At 42.7% G+C, this 21,315-nt stretch overlaps 2 protein-coding genes and 1 long non-coding RNA gene across 10 annotated transcripts in view, besides 1 other annotated feature; 1 reads left to right on the top strand and 2 right to left on the bottom strand.

The window, feature by feature from the left end:
• FSIP1 (fibrous sheath interacting protein 1) overlaps positions 1-4,946 on the top strand; it is a 185,402-nt gene extending 180,456 nt beyond the window's left edge. For 5 of the 6 annotated variants that reach the window (NM_001324338.2, NM_152597.5, XM_011521306.3 and 2 more), the window contains one exon: positions 1,460-2,355. In NM_001324338.2, coding sequence (NP_001311267.1) covers positions 1,460-1,506 — 47 coding nt within the window. In that variant the 3' untranslated portion in view covers positions 1,507-2,355. Of the gene's footprint in view, positions 1-1,459 lie in introns of all 6 variants that reach the window. The other variant, XM_011521305.4, reaches the window with a different exon arrangement.
• THBS1 (thrombospondin 1) lies at positions 2,920-21,307 on the bottom strand. Of its 3 annotated transcripts, none has more exons than XM_047432980.1 (22): positions 21,158-21,307; positions 20,462-20,678; positions 19,634-20,193; positions 18,694-18,769; positions 18,199-18,398; positions 17,964-18,086; positions 16,823-16,916; positions 14,866-15,039; positions 14,168-14,344; positions 13,687-13,860; positions 13,300-13,427; positions 13,032-13,184; positions 12,363-12,581; positions 11,763-11,870; positions 11,036-11,195; positions 10,763-10,881; positions 9,584-9,818; positions 9,159-9,386; positions 8,718-8,989; positions 8,190-8,287; positions 7,946-8,085; positions 2,920-7,024 (listed from the first exon to the last, which is right to left on the bottom strand). In XM_047432980.1, the coding sequence occupies exons 2-22, from the start codon at positions 20,526-20,528 to the stop codon at positions 7,017-7,019; spliced, it is 3,513 nt and encodes a 1,170-aa protein (XP_047288936.1). In that variant the 5' UTR covers positions 20,529-20,678; positions 21,158-21,307; the 3' UTR covers positions 2,920-7,016. The 3 variants fall into 3 exon arrangements, with proteins under 3 accessions (XP_047288936.1, NP_003237.2, XP_011520273.1); NM_003246.4 differs by having other exon boundaries at positions 20,462-20,557; XM_011521971.3 differs by lacking the exon at positions 13,687-13,860 and having other exon boundaries at positions 20,462-20,557.
• Positions 7,788-8,987: an enhancer, noted in NCBI's record as "MED14-independent group 3 enhancer chr15:39885600-39886799 (GRCh37/hg19 assembly coordinates)". NCBI's record gives its function as "activates an origin of replication core promoter dependent on BRD2, BRD4, P300/CBP and CDK7 cofactors, and independent of MED14, by STARR-seq in HCT116 cells {active_cell/tissue: HCT116}" and the evidence as "EXISTENCE:reporter gene assay evidence [ECO:0000049][PMID:35650434]".
• On the bottom strand, positions 15,133-16,260 carry THBS1-IT1 (THBS1 intronic transcript 1). Its single transcript, NR_186398.1, has one exon. It is a non-coding gene; the product is annotated as a THBS1 intronic transcript 1 (long non-coding RNA).
• Positions 21,308-21,315: the final 8 nt, after the last annotated feature.

The raw sequence follows: 21,315 nt of genomic DNA, 5'->3' as shown, positions 1-21,315 counted from the left end.
ATCAAGGTGTCACCAAGGCCACACGCCACCTGGAGGCCCTAGGAGAGAACGCTAGAACGCTTCCATGCTTCTTCCAGCTTCTCCTGGCTATGGGCATTCCTGGCTTTGTGGCCACGTCACTCCAGTCTCTGCCTCCGTCTTCACATTGCCTCCCTCCATCTGTGTGTGTTAATCTCCCTCTGTCTTTTTTGTATAACAACACTTCTTATTGAATATAGGGCCCACCCAGAGAATCCAGGATGATCTTCTTATCTCGAGAAGCTTAATTTAATTGCATCTAGAAAGACCCCTTTCACAGGTTGCAGGGATGAGGATGTGAGTTTTGGGGAGCCACTGTTCACCAGCTTCCTACAATTCATCCCATTAAAAGTGTGCAATTCAATTGTTTGTAGTATATTTACAGAGTTGTACCTCCATCACCACTATCAATTTTTTATTTTTTCCACCCCCGACAACGCAACATTTTGGGTATTAGTAATCACTTCCCATTTTCCCCAACCCCAGCCCTAGGCAATCACCAGTCTTTCTGTCTCTGTGAATTTGCCTAGTCTGAACATTTCATATAAATGGAATCATACGGCATATGGCCTTTTGTGACTGGCTTCTTACATTATGTCTTCAAGATTCATCCATGTTGTAGCATGTATCCATACTCCACTCTTTTCTATTGTTGAATAAGTCTCAATTATATGGATATATCACATTTTGCTTATCCATTCATCATTTGATGGACATTTGGGTTGTTTCCACTTTTTGGCTATTACATATAATGTTGATATGAACGCTTGTGTACAAGTTTTTGTATGGATGTATGCTTTCATTTCTCTTGGGCTTATACCTAGAAGTGGAATTGCCAGGTCTATGGTAACCTTCTCAGGAACTGCCAGACTGTTTCTAAAGCTACTGCACCATTTTCCATTCCTGCCAGTCGTGCATGAAGGTTCCAGTTTCTCCTGTTTCTCTTTGTCTTTTTAAAATTTAGTTCTATTGTCAATTCTGCATTTTCTGATAACCTTCTCACCAAGGGTAGAAAAATATTTCCATTCCTTTTCTGTTAATGTCACAATTTTTTTTCTCACTTCAAGAAATGAAAGGCGATCAGCTCTTATCTATTCTACATATAACATTTACTTTTGGTCTCACTGTACTTCCCAGAAACTTAGTAGAAAGCAAAATATTAACTTCTGTGTGTGTCTCCACATCCATAATCATTTTAGCTCCAAAACCTGTAGTGTTCTCCCTGAGCTGTAAGCTCAATGAGAGTAGGCGCCCTGATCTTTCTATTTTTCTCGTAAACTTTGTCTGCAGCTCGTGGTGACTGTTCAGTAAGTATTAAATGAGAGTGTGATTATTGCCTCATGTGTAAAGGGATTTAATATTTTATAGGCTGAGTTGTTTTTCTTAATTATGCATACATTTCTGAATCTCTAATAACTGTGGTTATTGTTTTTATGTGCAGATGAGCAGGAGACTAAAGATGCAGCAGAAGAATGTAAAGAACCCTAATCAAGGACTTGCTGGGTGTGCTTTTCAGAAAGTTGGTAATGAAGTTAAATTAAATTTCTTATTGAATTATTTGAATTCAATGAATGCACTGCAGAGACTATTCTTTATTGATTTTGACATTTGGAGTCGCTCTTTGTGGATTATATTTCCTTGATATTTTTGAGACTTGGGGTGTAATTGTTCAGTGGTTTTTGCTCATTAAAATTTCTGGGACCATTGTTTATAAATTTATTGCTAATCTTACAGTATTAGGATTCATTATAAAAACCAACATTTTAATGTATACGTGTTAGGGTAAAACTCGTTGAAGTGCTGTGATTGTCCTGTATTCAATTTTGTATGTTTCACCTCTACTGTGATTCAGACAGATCATGGTGGTCACTGGGAATTTTTGCTGTGGCCCTGCTTTTCCTTCTTCCCACTTGTCTCATGTCTGTGAAACTGGTACAACCTGCCATAAGATGAAATGAATTGTCTCAACAAAGCAATATTAGAAGAGCCTTTACTATCTTATTGGTGATGACACGTTTCTTAAGTAGGAGTTTGAGTGAATTATTTGATATATTACTTTGTTAATAATAGTTAACAATAGTTTCTTATTTTCTTTCAGAGTTTGGGCCTTTTAGATTGCATCAAATAAAGATGAGCTACTTTAAAAGACAGTCTGCGGTACTATTTGAAGAGAGATGGTTTAGTTACAAGTCAGTAACTTAGATTCATGAGAAAATTTTGTGTTGACATTCCATAAGATGAGTTGGCATTAGAATTGGAAGTCCAGTTTATTTCTGAATCAAAAAATGAGCGGGCTATTGTGCTGCCTTTAATAAAATTTGAGTGATGTATACATAACATTGTTTTTGCTGGCACATGTTCATCCACTGATACTGAATAACATTAATGATTGTTTATATGGAATTTCCTTGACTTTTTAAAATGAGGAATTCTATAGCTACTATTTTCAGAGGTATTGATAGGCAGTTTCTTTTTCCAGACACTATTTCAGTTTACTATTTGTTCATTTAAAATAGCAATTGTTCATGCTGATGTCAATGTGCTACGTATAATTTATCTTGATGCCAAGAGTTTTGCTGTGGGATGGAAGTATAAGTTAAAAGTTGTGATTTTAGATTCTCATAGGAATGCCATGAGGCACACTCTGTGTTTTAGGGTTTGGGTGGGAAGAATCAGAGGGCAAAGGTGATATGGGTGAGAATTTGTTGTGGGGCAGAGAGGGGCCAGTGTTGTCCGTCAGCGTTTCAGAGGAGTTCAGCTTTCTAAATCTATGCTTTTCTGGTATTTGATGTTTGTATGTATGAGAGAGAGAGAGAGAGAGAGAAAGAAGGAGGAGGGAGGGGAGGGGAGGGTAGGAAGGAAAAAGGGGAGGGAAGAGGGAGACAGAAAGAAACACAGAGTAAAATTATTTCTAGACTTGCACTGCAAAGGGCTTATGACTTTATAGTTTGCTTCTGCCAATGATATTTGGGACATAGTGAGCCTTTCTGTTATTTAGGTAAGGGGGAAGAAAATAGAGTTATTTTAAGTAATGAATTCTGCCATAAAAGAGGTGGGACCATTCACAGCATGTCAACTGAAGGTAACTCTAACAAGGACTGGTAACTAAGTCTGTAACGTAATTCAACAAAAAGCTTCCGGATTTTTTTTAAAAAGTCACCCTGATTTAGATAGAAAGTGTTATTAAAAATAGATGTTTTTATTTTGGATTTCCCTTTAGGGCTTAGTGTTTGTCCGGAACAAGGTGAAACCCCGTCTTTACTAAAAATACAGAATTAGCCAGGCTTGGTGGCGGGCGCTTGTAGTCCCAGCTACTTGGGAGGCTGAGGCAGGAGGGAGAATTGCTTGAACCGGGGAGGCAGAGGTTGCAGTGAGCCGAGATTGTGTCACTGCACTCCAGCCTGGGCGACAGAGCAAGACTTCATCTCAAAAATAAAAAGAAAAAGAAATTATAGAAGAGAGAGAGAGCCAATTTATTTAAGGAATGAATTCAGGAGCTTAATACTGGAGGCTTTTCTACATGTGACTCTTTAGAAAAAAAAAAACTGCTGGCACCACCTTTATTGTATGTACATTCTTATAAGACCTGGAGTTTATTGCTCTTCACTCGAGCTCTCCCACAACACATGACAATAAACTGTTGGAGGAGGAAAAAAGCTATCATCTCGATGACATAATTTTAATTTTTAACAAGTCCTTTATTTCAGTACAACCTGATTATTTGAAGGTCAGTCTTAGGGTGAAACTGGAACATGCCTGGAAGAAAAGCTCCTCTTTCCAGTCACTTTTTCTGTCTTATCTTGGTATTTTCAATCAGTTTTGCTTCACTATCCAAGAATGAATTAGAATTATCTCCCAGCACTTCAAACGTTGAACTCTTCTGATAATGAATGATGGTATTTAATTCTTTGCCATTTCAAAGAATTATTTCCTTCACATCAGTTTTCCTAACTCCACAGCTATTATCAACACTTTCTAGTTCCTGCTTCTTCACCTTGGTACTATAAAATGATTTGGCAATTTACATTTGTATGTGATCATGGCTACTCAGAAAGATGAGTATTTATAGAATGAGAGTGAAAATCAACAAGGAAGATTTTATCTCACCCAGCCAGTCCTTTCTAGTGTTTAATAGACCTCAAAGCCAGACCTTTAACCTACTCATAAAATTTCTTCTTTGATCTGTTTTCATTAAAACTGGAAATTAACTGGTCAGTATTCCACATTCATAATTAGCCCATCCAAAAATCAAGGTCTGCTTATTGGTACACTTGGGCCTTTTCTTCACATGATAATTTGTATTTAGACACACACGCATTTATGGATTCCTTCCAAATTTTACATTTTTTAGTCTTCTTTTTTGATTAAACTTATTATTCCTTCTTCAAGAGGAGGTATCTGTAATGCTTGGCTCAACATTGCAAGGACAGCTCCTCCCTCATCCACATTTACTTCCGAAGTGTCTCCACAACATGCAATCGTGTTGCCCACCCAAGGCATCATTCGTGGGTCAGAAAATGTCGCTGTGAGAGTTGCGTGTGCTTCAGTGTTTTTCCCTTTGTTTTCATACTGCACTTTGAAAAGGATTCAATGACATCTAATGACCTTAATAAGAAATTTTATTCTTATGGGGGCCCTTGACTTAGGGATAATTTCTCTTTTATATGTTTTTGATATGGCAGGCTAATGTATCATTTTGTTCTTTTATTCCACAAACGCAGCAAATTCTAAGCCTAGGCCTGAGCAACTCAGTCTTTCTCAATCACATACAAACTGTGAATGTTGCTATGACTTACTGTAATTTATTTTTGTATATGCTATATTGATTTATGAATGGTATTTACGCATATACTTCATGACATAAAGCCAGTAGAGAACAAATAAGCATGGATACAGTAAGTATAAATATAAATTTCCATATGATTTATTGTTGTTCCTTGTACATAAGAAACAGTAATATACAACTTACACTGCTTTAGAATGTAAAATGGATAAAAATGTGTACAAAAAAAAGCACATTCCTAGAAAAAGGTATTGGCAAATAGTAAAAATGGGAGGTCAAAAGCAAAAAAAAAAAAAAAAAAAAACAAAACAAAAAAAAGAAAAAACCAACAATTCTTCAATTCAGTGTGCAAACATTATATAAAAATAGAAATACTAACTCTACAGGCAGTATTTCCTGATAAATTATTTAAATAGCATATCTACACAATCTGAGATATCTATTCCAATGGCAATGAGAAAATAATTTATAAAAATAAAGCAATGGTATACCAGATGATAGAAAAAAAACATAACTTTCAGAAATTGTATTTAACATTTCAATGCTATTTCCTTATTGGGAATACTTCTCTGCAGAGTTTTTATGCTATGTACAACACTGACTTTTTAGGTACTACAGTAGCTTTAAGTTTGTTAGACACTTAAACTCTTTCCGCTTGATCCAAAAATTCTTTACTCAGTCACACAACAAATGAGGTAATATTTGTATGTAAGTTTCACCTTTTGTCATTTTTTTCTCTTTTGGAAAAATGAAAGAAAAAAGTGTATATGCTTTCCTTCTCCCTGGAAATATGCACAAGGGATGGGGTAAAACAGTATTGAAGACCTCATGGCTTTCTTTGCAATTTAAAACATTTGCAAATGGATAACCAACTAATTCCACTTGAAAAGATAAAACAGAGAAAAAAAGAATCCCATAACATCCACTCTGAGCACAAGGGGCAGAGCAGCTTATTAGACTGATTTTCCTTGTGCTGTTCTTGCAAGAGATTTGCTGATAAATGTCAACTACTTGCTCTCAAACACTTTCCGTATGAAGCCTAAATTTCCAGGCAGAACAGAGTTAATAAATAATCTGTATTTACAATCTTACAGTCACGAAGACTCTCAACAAAGATGACATGGATAGTCTTTACGCTTCTTCCTGTTCCATGAATAATCCTTCAGCCAGATCTTCCAGAATAAGTAAAAAATAAATATTTTACATCGTAAAGCATTTAAAAAAAATCTACATTCCAAAAGAGAGAATTAGAAAACTCCATGATAATTCAGGAAAAAAGAGAAAAGGAATGTTTTAGTTAGGTTGATAATAATTTTGTGCCATTGTAACCATAAAAATATAAGCACGGCTGCCCCTCCTTTGGGAGGCAGCTGGTGCTCACTGAGATGGTAGGTTTTCCTATTTTCCTGCTACATCTGCACAAGCTACATCTAGAATGAAGCCACCAATTTCAATGTGACCAGGCAATGGCAGCCAGCACTGCCTTACACTGGTTTGATTCTGATTCCCTAATTCTGGCCACTGCAGGTGATGAGTAAGGGTGGGGATCAGGGAGGAAGTCCAGAAGCCAGTCTTTGTCTCCCTTTCCTGCTTCTATTTAAGTGCCTATTTACATGGGTTAATCAGCTAACGCCAGTCAGCATCATGAAATCCAGCAATAGTCTTTCAATCCCCTGAAAATGACTTAGTACCGAACATGTAACAGTTCCTCCATATTTTCTTCATACAATCGTCTCGGGTATGCGCCCTCCCCTTAGTGCTTTGGCCTCTGCTCCCCGTGTTCCTGAAGGAGGATGTCAGGGTGGTTTTGTTTGCTAATTCTAGTGAGTCCTCCCTTCTCTGACATGCCTGAAAATGCTTTTGAGTCCACTGCTCAGAGATGGCCTCACAATAGCACCCTGCTCTGTGACAAAGGCAGAGTGGAATGGGCACCTTCCCAACTGAAGCAAGTAGATGCTTTTTCAAAAGGAAACCAAAGCAATTGTTTATATGCTTGGAAGATGTCTTATTCATTGGAGGCTGAATGCTGAGTCTGTTTTTGAAAACTGCATTTTCTTGAGGCAGGTCGCACGTTCTAGGAGTCCACACTGATGCAAGCACAGAAAAGAAGGAAGCCAAGGAGAAGTGATCCTGGGGGTTTTCTCAAGCCCATAGTTCCAGAAGGTGCAATACCAGCATTGGTTTATGATCAGTCTTTCAATCAACAATTTGATGATTAGGGATCTGTTAAATAAACAAATATAAATAAATATACAAATGAAAACTAATTCATAAAAGCATAGACATCTTAGTTAATAAGTTAACCACATAGGAATAGCTCTACTTTTCTAATGACAAAAGCCTAATTTTAAGGTTGTTCAAGCACATTAGCATTTAATTTTATTAGCTGACATTGATGCTAGGAGACCGACACAGCGTGAACCTTCCAGAACATATATTATGCTTTCCAAAGGCTTTCAATGTTAACAGTTTAGGGAGTCTTATTTTAAAAATTTGGACTCAAAAATTACATTAATAATTTAGATTTTTTTGAGTAAAATCAACCATCTTTCTCTACTGTCATTGATCTTTTAGGTATCTGGCCTTGGCCCAGTAAATATATATTAAGCACTTATTTTGTGGTAGAGCCAGTGTTGGACTCAGCGAGCTTAAGTAATGACTAAGTAAAAAAGAATGAGGAAAAAAAATGCTAAGTTTAATAGTGAACATTAATTTAACATGCCAATATGAAAGCAACATTCCTCTCCCTTCTTTGTATACAGGGAAAAGTTGGGAATGCTAACTCGTGCTGTGATGGCATGCATAAAACAATAAGCAGTAAGATATATAAATATATAATTGTAAAGAACAGTATTATTAATGAAGTCCAAATTATATAGGAGCTTTTCTGCAGCTTACCTTTGCACTGTGTATGAGGAGCACAGAGATTGCTAAGCAAACTAATATTATAGCTAAGGACTCAGGAACTCATAAGCCACAGTGCCTAGGCATTATTCCATTTTTGTCCTTGTGTCCTCAAAAGCAAAATAGAAATAACCCTGTCTCCAAAACAGTCTTTACACTGGACTCCCCCATAACCGTCATCCTTGATATTAGTCTGAAATAGAGATGTCCAGTGTACATTCATGGTGATGTTGCTCTTACCTCTACATTCGTATTTCAGGTCAGAGAAGAACACCATTTCTTGAGAGAAGACAAACAACCCTAGTCTACCACCAGCATAGGTTTTATCATAGATGGGTCCTGAGTCAGCCATGATTTTCTTCCCTTCATACATCACCACTCTGCAGGGAAAAAAAATCTTGTTTAGTGACAATGCTATTTAATACTTTTTGTCTTTTTGTCCCTCAGTGTGACTGTAAGTGAAAGTGAATCAGTATGATCGTACCTAATGAAACCCGTCTTTGGCCTGTGGCTGAGACGCCATCTGTAGGCGGTGAAATCTTTCCAGCCTATGTGACGAGGGTCATGCCACAGGGTGCGCACCTGAAGGAAAAGGAAAAGGAAAGGTTGAAACACAGCTCCTTCAGGTAAAGATTTCTATTTCATTCCATCAGAAACAATGCTTGAAAGGTACTGAGCTGATCTAAGTTAGAGGGCTGCAATGGGGAATTTTTCCAAGTCCTCTCATATTTGTTGTGTGCCACTGAGCACACATATAAAGCAGACAGAGAGGAGGGAAGGAGGTTTTTTTGTTTGAAAAGGCTGAAGGCACCTTAGGATTTGCAGGGCAATTCTTGGTCAAGCTCCCTTTTCAACACTATTATGTTTTTACAAAGCAGAGTTCAATGCTGCAGCTGGTGATGCTGGGAACTTTCTAAGACTCCCTGGTCAGAGTCTTGGTCAAAGCACAGCATCCCCAGTGCTAGTCAGGCACCCATAAGCTCTCTCTCTGTTCCAGGGCTTTGCTTCTTACCTGGCCAGGGGTGTTTCCTGTGTGCCACAGGGCGTTCCGCAGGTGCTCGCCAGGCCCTGTGGTGGAGTTTACAACTTTCACAGAAAGGCCCGAGTATCCCTGAGCCCTCGTGGGGTTGGTGTCCCAGTAGGACTGGGTGACTTGCTTCCACATCACAACATAAAAGCGGCTGCTGGACTGGTAGCCAAAGACAAATCCAGCATAGTCATCGTCCCTTTCGGTGTTGATGAAGAAGGTGCCACTGAAGTCCACAGCATTAAACTCATCATAACCTGGAAGAAGAGCCCAGAGCCAGGTTAAAACCTGCAGCCTTCAGAAGGTTCTCCATCATGTTCCTAGACATCCTCAGCACCCACAGGGATAGGTACAACTGCCAGGTTTTATATTTGTTTTTCCCCATGTATGCATCAGTCTCTTAGGATCTAAGAACTCGCTACTCACCTACAGCGAGTCCAGGATCACAGTTGACAGTCTGGACGAGTTCTTTACCCTGATGGCGTACAACCCAGTTAGGGTCATTTTGGGATGTCCCTTTGGGGTCCAGAGGAATCATCTGGAATCGGCGGAAATCGGTCTCACTGATGTCAACATTCTCAGGACAGATGTCATCGATGTCTGGCACACTGTCATGGTCAAAATCATCTTTGCAGGCATCACCTCGACCATCGCCTGAGGTCAAAAAAGCAAGAGTTCAGCAAAATTCTAAAGTGCTATTATTATTACTGGTGTCAGAAATGTCACTATCTTGTCTAAGTTGGCATTTGGTCCCTTCATCCTGTCAAATGCTTTGAGCCTTGGTTTCATTTCTTCAATCTACACAGCTGTGCCAGCAGTCCCTGTCTTAGAAAGTGGCTCCCATGACTCACCGTCAGAGTCCTTCTGGTCGGGATTGGGCACGAGTCTGCAGTTGTCCTTGTCATCAGGAATGCCATCGTTGTCATCATCGTGGTCACAGGCATCTCCCTTGCCATCTTTGTCATGGTCAGCCTGGTTGGCATTGGGCACATAGGGACAGTTGTCCAGATTGTTCTGGTGGCCATCTTCATCAATATCCTGATTGTTGTCACAGGTATCTCCAATGCGGTCTGAGTCAGAGTCCAGCTGAAAGAGAGATGTAAATGGAGGGTAAATTGCAGTATAAACCATTCATGTTAAAGATAACTTATGCCCCCACCACAGGGAAAATTCTCCATTGTTTGATACAGCCAGTGGGGTGTCATGTCTATTTACACACTCCTGCAGAAAGATAGCAATAGTAGCAATTACATTTTAAAAGTTTTTTTCCTTTATCTTTGTTTTCGTATAAAAATCTGAGAAGGGATAATTTAAAAATGTTTTACATATAAAACTTTCTAAATAAGGTCAAATAGAGTGATATTTAATTACTAAAGATGAAATGAAATGTTAACTGTTTACATCTTAATGTTAAATGAAATTTTCTGGATACTTTATAACAGAGAATTTCCTTAGAAGGTTTCAGTTGTAAAACTGTTGACACGTCGACTTCTCTGAAAAGTCCTGAAAAGATGGAAACAGACCACTGGTCCCTGTGTTGTATACTGTCTGGGTAATGTTTATGACAGGGATAAATTACTTTGGTTTTGGATGTATCCTTAGTTTGATGATTTTCTTATAGCTAGATTACATCATTAGCCATGAAAATGGTTATTTTGCTTATGCACATTTATTTTTCCATCTCTTAGTATTACATATGATTAATATTATTGTACAGTTGTCAGTCACAGATGTCTGCTTTGTATAATTTGTCTTAACAATGGTAGACGATGCTGAGCAAGTCCAGTAGCCCTTCTTACAGAAGGTAAGACTGAAGTTACCAGATCTTCATGCTAAAGATCTGTGAGACTCTGTGCAAGGAGCTCACATCAGGCAAATTATTTACATGAACGTATTCCAGTTGGCTATGAGAAGCCAGGGAGCCACAGTAATGAAAGTGTTTGAACTTTGTTAAGCTCATTTTTCAAAGGCCATGAAAGGGATATTCCAACAGTTTACTGAAAGACTCTGAAAGGAGTCCATCCACCTACCTGATCCGGATTGTGTTCCAAGGGGCAATTGTCACACTGATCTCCAACCCCATCCATATCAGTGTCTCTCTGGTCCACATTGTAGACGTACTGGCAGTTGTCCCGTTCATTGAGGATACCTGAAGAGAACAAGGGACAAATAAGAGCTGGGCTCTCCAGCCTTGGATGTTTCCACCAAAGTGCATACTAATAGCCAGGACTAGACAGAAGTACGTTTGGAAAGCTGTGCATGTCCCTGTCTCCCGCGGGCCCTCTGATCAGGCAGCACCTTACCGTCTCCATCAATGTCTGCAGCACAGGCGTCTCCTTCCCCATTGTTGTCTGTGTCTGCCTGATCTGGGTTGTGGTTGTAGGGACAGTTGTCACAGCGGTCTCCCACATCATCTCTGTCATAGTCATACTGAGCTGGGTTGTAATGGAATGGACAGTTGTCCTGCAAAGAGAAGAAATGGAGCACTTAACAATGTTGTCCTTGAAAACAGCTCAAGCCTCAAACCATGTGCATAATATGTCTAAAACTGTGAAAATCAGCAATACTTTCTACCTAGTGGATAGGCTAATTGATCACTCAGTGTAAAACGATCACTACAAAAGTTAAAAGGACATAGTTAAAAAAATGGATCCCTGTGGGTTAGAAGTTAGTGAGATGTAGAATATAATCCCATCATCTCAGTTCATAGTGTGCCCAAAGTCAATTTTACTGTAATTTCGATGTGACATTTGAAATGAATCTAGGGAACAAAGTGGCATTTGTTTATGCATTATAATTTCTCAAGTACAGAGAAAAACAGTTCTGATGAAAAACAAAACCCTCATTTAAAAATTCTCTTGGCAACATCTACATCCTTAAACTACTGGAACACAATGAATAATTTCTAATTATCCTGTGTATTGATTTGGTATATTTTTTGCTATAGCCATGTAATTTCCTTGAATCCCAAAGTGTTTCAGGCTGTTGCTGAACTGAAAAGATGAAAAAGGGATAGAAAACTGTTTTTACCCTGTCATCTGGAATTTTATCATTGTCATCGTCATCATCACAGGCATCACCAATTCCATCCTTGTCATAGTCTTCCTGCCCTGAGTTGGGAAGGTTGGGGCAATTATCCTAGGAAAGAGAAGATATATATCACTGCTTCAGTTGCCTTCCTCATGCTGAGCTCATGCACGAGGGAGTGTACCTGGAATTCCAAATAGAAAAAGAACAGAATTTGGCTCAGTAACAGCATATTTTTTTTATGGGAAGACAAGAAAATAAAACTTTTCTTGGGGGATATACATACAGAATTTGTGTAAATGCTCTAGGCTTTATAGATGTTGTGAACACAAGTCATGCTTTGCTGGTATTTGGATAGAGTACTGAACTTTTTTTTGGACAGAAGAGTTGACTATGGAACACAGTTGCCCAAAAAGAGCTAGCCCTGTTCATGTTTTTGGCACCAAGTGATTTAATTTTAATAGGAATTAGTGCCCCTCTCCCTTTGGGAGATTTAATCTTTCAGTTTCATGTCCAAACTTTAAGTATTTAAAATTCCTTAGCCTGTGTTTTGATAAGGTGATGGGCCCTCTTTCTGGAGGCACACAAAGGACCTGGCTCTACCTTTTTGCAGTGGTAAGTCGCATTGGCCACGCACACCAGGTTCTCATTGGGCCAGCCATCCAGGTCTGTGTCCTCCCCGCAGATGATGCCATTGCCAGCGTAGCCAGGCTTGCACTCGCAGCGGTACATGGGGTCGCTATAGTGGCCCAGGTAGTTGCACTTGGCGTTCTTGTTGCAGTCGTGGGTCCCATCCGTGCAGGGGTTACGGGGCTTGCACACCTGAGGGTACACCATGCTGCTGTTACACAGAGCTTTTGAGAATCCTCAGATATCATGGAAACAAGAATCCAGATCCCTGTCATCTCTGAGTAGACAGAGGCTCCATTTGGAAGAGTGTGGGTTACCTCTGTCCCTCCCCATTCTCCCTGAGGCTATAAGCAAACTTTGCTTTATGTTTATTTTTCTTGAATTTGCTCAGCACCTAGGCGTTTACAAGTCCATCTGCTCACAACTTATTCCAGAGCAGCATTTTTAAATATGGAAGACTGTTTTTCCCCTGCAGGATTTACCATGGATTTTCTAATCACGTTTCTAAAACTAGACCGTACATTCATCTCCTCGCCCTTTTTTTTTTGGTGAAGGGTATGAAATTACATTCCTCCCGCTCCCAGTTATTTTGGTCAAGGACAGCTCTCCTGTCCTCTGGTTTACTCGTCTAGTTGACTGTACCTGTTTGTTGGCCGTGGCATGTTCGACACCCTGGCCGAAGGGCTGTGAGCCGGTGAAGCGTGGGGGGCAGGGCAGGCAGTTGTAGCCGGGGTCCGTGTTCTCACACCGGTGCTCTCCATTGTGGTTGAAGCAGGCATCAGGCACTTCTTTGCACTATGGAGGAAATAAGAGCGTGCATCATGTTTAGAAGTCACTGCCATAAGGAAGCGACTGCACAGGTTAGCTGCTTTCCTAGATCCAGAAACTCGGAGCCCCATCAGTTCCTCACCTCATCAACATCTGTGCACTGGATGCCATTTCCACTGTAACCAGGGGGACAAGCACCACATTTCCAGCTGCCATCAGGGTAGCTAGTACACTTCACGCCGGCAAAGCAGGGATTGGACAGGCATCCATCTGAGACAAGGAGAGAGAGACAGTCACAGTAAATGGTTGGTCTAAGCTGCCATACTGCCATGCTGGGCACTTAACACAGTGTAAGATATTATAGGGTATAGGGAACCGATAACTTGTTGGGATTATGTTGTCCACCTGCATCTTAGAGCAATCAAATCGCTCAGGACTAACCAAGCTGGAATCTCCTCGAATGCTGACTGCAGCATTCAGTAAAAGAGCAAAGCTCCTGGGTCGTTTCATCCTGGGCTGCGTGGCTCACCAATTGGACAGTCCTGCTTGTTGCAGATCTGGTTTTCTGTTACATCACCAACGCAGTCCTTGCCTCCAAACTGGGGTGTGGGGTTGTTGCAGAGACGACTACGTTTCTGTACCCCTCCTCCACAGGTGACAGAACAGATGTCCCATGGTGACCAAGGACCCCAGCCTCCATTGACTGTAAGAAGATGAACCACAGGCAACAATTAAGATCAACTTTCAAATCCCTCCCTTGTCATAGACTCTCCTAAGCCCGTTCAAGAAACCTCTGCTTCTCTGACACATGGAAAGAATGCTGGGGAAGAGGGTGAGTTTGTTTTTCATTAAAAGAAGTTGCTGAGCCTGCAGGACTTTGCTTCTGTTTGTTTCTCTAGTAGGTAACCTTCCTGCTCTATGACCCACTGAACTGCAGGCTGCAGATGCCAGGCAACCAGCTGGGCAGAGCTGCTGCCCATGCTCACCCTTGCAGCGGACCTCACACTTACTGGGGCAGGCGTCTTTCTTGCAGGCTTTGGTCTCCCGCGCTTCGCCTTCACAGGGTTTCCCGTTCATCTGGGGGCTGGGAGAGTTGCAGAGCCGGATCCTTGTGATCACACCATCACCACATGTCACAGAACAAGATGACCACGGGGACCAGTGGCTCCAGCCACCATCCTGTTTAACTAAAGTACAGAGTTGATGGTCACAAATGGTTTTGGCTTAGAGACAGCCAAATAGAGGCTCCCATCAGGAGCACGCAGAAGTATTTCCAGGAAATGGTCAATGGCAACTAAACCCAGTGTACGGTAGAAATTGGCTCCTGGCCACATGCCCAAATGTCAACATGGAATGTTTTCTACCAGAGAACGGATAAGTTCGCTGTTTTTATGGGTTGCTGTTAATATCCTAACATTTACAGGGTGCTTACCATAAACCAAAACTCAGTGCTAACTGCTTTACATGCAGTATCTAAATAAAATGCTCAAGATAAACTTATCAAGAACTATTATTATCTCCAAGTTGCAAATGAGGAAAGAGCCTCAGAGAGGGTAAGTTGTGTTCAAGGGTGCACAGCTAAGCAGTGGGATTGGGATCCAGAGATCCTAGAACCCGTGTTCTTAATATACATGCTGTGGAGCTGCCCTTGGTGACGACAACAAGGACAGGTCAGTTCTCCACGTCCCTGAGAGGCTAAGATGCTTACATCTCTTGTCACACTCCTGAATGTGGCAGGTCCGTGTCTGGACCGAGGAGCCCTCACATCGGTTGTTGAGGCTATCGCAGGAGCGGCCGCGCTGCTGAATTCCATTGCCACAGCTCGTAGAACAGGAGGTCCACTCGGACCATGGAGACCAGCCATCGTCCGCAGAGTCGCTGGCTGCAGGGGAAACAGAGGTTCATCAGGTACGTGATGATTAGGACAAGCTGTTCTTTAGAGGGCTCTGTTCAGGGCCCTCCACTTGCCAGAGGGTGAAAAGCAATATATTTATTTCTTTTTGGCTTTACTGAGGTATAATTGACAAATATTATATACATTTAAGGTGTATAATGTGATGTTTTGATATACACATATATTGTGATTACCACCGTCAAGCTAATTAACACATCTCCATCATCTTACAGTTACTTTTTTTGGTGATGACTTAAGATCTACTCTCTTAGCAAATTTTAAGCATACAATCCAGTATTATTAACTATGGTCACCATGGTGTACATGAGCTCTCTAGAACATAATATGAGCCGGCACAAAGTTGCAGTTATACAGGATGAAAAGCAACATATTTCTTAGGCCAACGGCCCAGGGGTTTATCCCAGGTCATGATGTGTACAGCAGTGGGGTAATCGGATGCTTTGCCTGGCTCAGTACAGCTGAGCCTTCCCACAGTGTATGCTCTCCTATTCATTGATTTTCTTTCTCCTCTCAGCATTGCAAATGAGTTTTCCTTTACTGACTTAACATATCTGGGTAGGCATTTCCAGTCTCAGACTTCCAAGAATGCGCGAGTATGAGGAAGCTTATAGGAGTCATTTCTGTCAGGGGAGCCATACACCATGTGTTTGACAGATGAGTGTGAAGGCAGCCGAGCTGTTGTTGGTTCTGGCTCCAACTCGGCCGTGAGTTAGTCAGTTTGTTGTTCCTCTCACCCCAGCGTTTGGGGCCTTCTCTGCACATATTGTCATAAGAGGACAGCATGTTTGTTTACCATCTGCCCAGGCACCACGGCTACAATCACATCTAGCTGTATCAGACAGAAGACAAAGAACTTACTTTCTGTGGTCATTAGTTGTAAGTTTTCTTAGCAATCCCTGATTCAAGTTCAAAACTTTGCTACCTCCAGCTAGCTTTGTTCCTTTTAACGCACATGTTAAGTGAATGCGGAACAGAAAATAAATGTAAAAACGACCATTACAGTGCCAATATCGCTAATATGATCCCTGGATGGAATTGGTTATTCTGAGCTGTGACAAGGGTGTGTTTGTGTGTGTGTGCATGTGTGTTTCTGTGTGTGTGAAGGGCAAGTGCTGTTTTCCTGTTTTCTTCCTTATCTTAGTTGTAATGAATCACTTTTATAACTTGTACCTGCTACACTAAGTATTGTCTCAGCAAAGTCATTCATTTTACTGGTAACAAAAGCCAGGGATAACGTGCCATGGAACGATATCGTGCCTTATTTCTTTTGGTGCTCTAGAGCTCAGATTGCTGCTATTCTCTTAGGCCCTCTTATCCCTACAGATGAAAGGGGCAAAACTTCCAGGCCCGATCAGGCCAATGCTTACACAGTAAGCCTGTCAATATCTCTGGTGAGCAGATTTTTCTTAACTCTGTGCCACTAAGGTCAAATTCTAAAAGCAGTCAACTTAGAGCTGTTGCTGCCACGTCTTCATCTCTTTTCCTCAAAGCAAAAAATCAGAATTAATGAGCTATACCAAGATCTTCACTGCCATTACTGCAATCCAGATGGGTAATTACGATGTACTCATAATGGAGTTTTGGCTCTGTACAGCAGATAAGCTGTCAGTTAACCAGCTGCTGCAGCAAGAAACTGAATGGAAGCATGATGGAGATGGGGGTGGGGTTCCAGTGTTGTGCTCGGCTGTCTAGGATGTATGTAGAACTGACCTAGTCACTGAAGAATAGCTATGCCATTTGAGAAACTTACGCCAACAGCGAGGACAGCATTCTCCATCAGGAACTGTGGCATTGGAGCAGGGCATGATGGGGCAGGACACCTTTTTGCAGATGGTAACTGAGTTCTGCAGGGCAAGAGAGTGAGAGGGGAACAGGCTGCTGAGCATGTTGCATACAGAAGTCTACATCCTGTAACATTTCCTTTACAAGCCAAAACATGGTCAGGGCTGTCAATGCTCTAGTGGAATGATTTTCATAGATCTGTCTCTGTCATATTTGCAGCCACCACTATCGTAGAGACAGTTCTAGTGCTAGTTTACGTGTCACTCCATTCCTTGGAAAGTTCTTTTTAATTGCTACTTAGTCAAGGGTGGAAGTTACAGTACAAAGAATTTATAGCAGAGGAACCAACAAACATCATGGGTCAAATCTATGTCTGAAATCAAACTCAGAAAATTCAGCCAGGACTTTTACATTTTTATATTATGTGTTTGGGGGGAGGAAGGAAGATCTATAAGCACTTTTTCCTCATCTATAGATCTGTGATCTGTCTTTATATTGGAAAAGAAAGGGAATTTAATGAAGTTGGTTCCCACAGCCAGTCATCTGTGATTTGTATTTAAGCAAATTCAAATACTTTGCTATTAATAGATAAGCCAGGTGAACCTCCAAACTCACTGGCCACTGGCATGCGGGGATGCTAGAGTGAATCACACACCTGGCAGTGCCATCTGAGCAAAGCAGACAGTAACATCCTAACAGTGTCAGACTAAGTGATTTGAAAAACAATTGCTACTGTACTAAAAGAACCTATGCCAAAGCTGAATATAAATCAGGGTTGGGAAAAAAAAATGAATGTTCCAACCAGGTTTTATTTACCTGACATTCAACACTTAGTCTTTGAACTAAGGTAGGTAAATTATTCAGATGTCTTAGTAGATTCATTCTCTTAGATACTTAGCCTGGGGTATAATTAATACTTTGATAAACCATCTGAGAGTTTAAAGAAGAACTTATAGATGCCATAATTGCATCTTAAAGAAAAAAAAAACACTTTGTTATCAGGCCATGGAACATAAAAAGAATCTCTGTGGCGATTAGGGTATTTCCCCAAAGATGTAGGTTCAAACAAAAGCCGTCGATTCTTATTCTGGCTGGTGAAGGTCCCTTACCTGACAGTGACACTCAGTGCAGCTATCAACAGTCCATTCCTCGTTATTTCTGTACTGAACTCCGTTGTGATAGCATAGGGGAGGCCGCCTCAGCTCATTGGCCAACTCTTTGTTCTCTTCAGTCTAAATGGGAGAGAATATCATTAGTGTCCCCCCGCATTTTCAGTCATTTGGGACCATCTGCGATAAACCTTCCAGGGTTCATGCTAACGGGCTGGGTGCAGAGGCCACTGACCACTTTGCGGATGCTGTCCTGCAGCGTGGTCACAATGGTGCGCAGGCCCCTGAGTTCCAGGACCATGCTGGACAGCTCATCACAGGAGATGCCGCAGATGGCTTGCAAGTCCTTTGTCTTGTGGCCAATGTAGTTAGTGCGGATGGCAGGGCTGGAACCATTCACCACGTTGTTGTCAAGGGTGAGGAGGACACTGGTAGCTGGCAAGAAACAAAATGAAAACTTCAAATAGATACTCTTACCAACCAGCCTCTTGAGTTCTTAGTGGTAGAAGACGTTTCATTTGGTGTGAAGGATGCAGGTAGAGGGGTTGCGTGTATGCGCACGTGTGTATACGTGTGTGTGTATAATACCCCTTGGAGTCACTTCTGTATGCCTCTTGATGATCTCACTGGGGGTAATTTATGTATAACCACTATTGCTAAATTCCTCAGTTTGTTTTTGGTGGAATTCCCCCTGATTCCCTATGTGCCCTAAAAATAGAGGGGTACTCACAGCTGGAGCAGCCTTTGTTCCTGAGGATGTCTTCTGGTGTGGTTCCAAAGACAAACCTCACATTCTGCAGCACCCCCTGTGGGCAGAGGACACACATTACTTGTAGAATGCAGAGCGGGGTGGGGATGGGGTTGGGGGAGACTGTCTGTATGCTAGGAAAAGCATACAATAGATGTTCTAAAAGCTTCAAAGAGCTGTCTTAAGATCACTATGTCAAAATAACACAGCAACATTAATCGCCAAACAACTTCAAAATCTTAATTGTGACTTCTGCCAAGTCTTGAGTATTTTACAAAGAATTCAGTTATCAGCCTACTTGGGTACACAGGAAATGGAATCTGATCCTAAGCCTAGAGGATATAATGACACTTTCCAGTGTCAAAGAGTTAAATGTGGGAGTTCAAAGCCACCGTTGCAAAGATCTAGAAGTTAAGGCACAGATGAAGCTGTAACAGCAACAACTAACTGCTATTTTAACCTTTTATGTGAGACCAGCTGCATCCCCATGAGGAATCCAATAGCAAAGTGGTACTGATTCTGCCCATAGAAAGTATCCATTTCAAACAAGATTAAAATTGGGGGAATGCATTTGAAATAAGCTCTTTTCTTAAGAGCCTAAGGAGTATCTAAGGCTTGAACAGGCTGACTGCTAAAGGAAAACCATTTCTTGTTTCCTTGAGTAGTTTTCAAAGTGTGCTTCCCAGACCACCGGCATCAGCATCACCTGGTACTTGTTAGAGTTGCAGTTTTACAGAATCCCAGACTCTGGGGCTGGGGTGCAGCAGGGTGAGCTTTCACAAGCCCTCCAGGTGATGCTCATGCTGCCTAAAATCTGAGAACTGCTGCGTTAGTTTACAGACAGGATTTCCTGTAGCCCTCCTGGCAGGTCACCTGTCTAGCAGATGATCCCACGGAGCAGGGCTCAGAGAAGAAGCCTCACCTGGAAATTGTCATTGACGCCCCCCTTTGCGATGCGGAGTCTGGCGATGCTGGCCAGGTCTCTGGTGAAGACGCTTTGGATGGGGACGTCCAACTCAGCATTCTCCATCTTTTCACAGTCGATGTACAGCTGGGCCCTGTCTTCCTGCACAAACAGGGTGATGCTCTTCCACTGGCCGGTTGCCAGGAGAGCTTCTTCCACAGACACCACGTGCTGCTTTCCTTGGACGGTCAGGCTGAGGTCCAGGGTGCCCGCCTTGCCATTGGACACCACGCTGAAGACCTGGCCAGAGTGGTCTTTCCGCTCCAGGGCCAGCAGCGTGCCCCGGGTCTTCTTCATCTGCCTCAGGGATGCCAGAAGGAGGAAACCCTTTTCTGCCCGCACAGCATCCACCAGGTCTTGGAACTTGTCATCAGGCACAGGGGGGATCAGGTTGGCATCCTCGATGCGGAAAGCTGGGCTGGAAGGGTCGGGGCCCTTCACCAGTCGGCGCCCAGACCCCTTGCGGGCGGCCCCGGTGAGTTCAAAGATGTCAAACACGCTGTTGTCTCCGCCAGACTCTGTTAGACAGGAGAGAACACAAAGTGAGCTTTCTAGGCTGGGACCAGCAGTAGGGGGCTGAGTCCTTAGGGGTGGAGACAAAGGGTTGGGGTGAAAACTCCTGGCAACCACTGAAAGAGGTGAATAAATACCAGGATCAGAGTGAAGCTGCGTCCTGATGTCCAGTCAGGCTCAAGAGGGAGAGGACAGCACGTGAGGGGGCACACCTGGGATAGCCAGCACCTCTTCCTTGTCCCTCCTTCCCCTAAAGGTGCCACACAAACTCACCTGGAATGCGGTTGGTGCCACACACATGCATCAGGAACAGGACGCCTAGTCCCCAGGCCAGCCCCATGGTGGAGCTGTTGGTGCCCAGCAGGGATCCTGTAGCAGGAAGCACAAGAGCCGAGGGTCAGAGATCAGCTAGGCAGGGAGGGACGGTGCGCAGAAACGGGGCTGGGCATGGGGACAGGGCCGGGACCATCCCTCTTTGACCCCGCGTTTGCTGAAATGAAGGACAACAGGATTACTTTCCAGAGAGCATGAGAGAGAGAGAGAGAGAGAGAGAGAGAGGTGGAGGAAAGAGATGCTGGTTTTAAAGTGTGGGGGGCGCAAGACCAACAATTTGGGGGCTTTTGGGAAGTCGAAGGTGAGCAAGATCAGGAACTGTAGTTTGGGGTTGCAGGGAGGGCAGGGGAAGTACAGACTCTTCCCTGGAGTGCTGATACAAAGGCTTAAGGAGGACTTCAGAGAGTAAGGAAATCTTGGGGTGTCCTGATGAGTTGGTTTGTGAACCTCAAGGCTGGAGAGGATGGCTCTGGAGCCTTGCCCTGAAGAGTCCTCCAGCGGCTGAGAGGAGCGGGCTGGGGTAGGCGAGCGGGGAGAGTGTAGGTTCCGGGGTCCACCAGAGGGACTGAAGCCTCAGCGCTCCAGGTGGATGTCCCGGGCAGCTTTGGTCCTCGGCGGCCGCCGGGGGCGACTTACCTGTGTGTACCGGAGCGCGGCGGCCGGGAGCGGTGGCGAGGGCGGCGAGGGCTGGAGGGGCGCGGGGAATGCCTGTGCGTCCGGAGTAGAGGTTGCTCCTGGAGAGCGACAGGAGCCCTGAACTCGCAGGCCAGCTCGGGCGCAGCGGCTGGCAAGGC

This window comes from Homo sapiens, chromosome 15 (genome assembly GCF_000001405.40).
Source record: "Homo sapiens chromosome 15, GRCh38.p14 Primary Assembly".
NCBI classification, from domain to species: Eukaryota; Metazoa; Chordata; class Mammalia; order Primates; family Hominidae; genus Homo; species Homo sapiens.
The sequence above is the reverse complement of the archived record's forward strand: the minus strand, read 5'-3'. Positions and strand labels throughout refer to the sequence as shown.

Excerpts from the sequence above, each read along its gene's own strand:
- THBS1 (XM_047432980.1), bottom strand. The coding sequence starts at position 20,528 with ATGGGGCTGGCCTGGGGACTAGGCGTCCTGTTCCTGATGCATGTGTGT. Across the intron at positions 20,194-20,461 it reads TGGCACCAACCGCATTCCAG|AGTCTGGCGGAGACAACAGC; the intron begins GTGAGTTTGTGT and ends CCTGTCTAACAG. Across the intron at positions 18,087-18,198 it reads AGGACAGCATCCGCAAAGTG|ACTGAAGAGAACAAAGAGTT; the intron begins GTCAGTGGCCTC and ends TCTCCCATTTAG.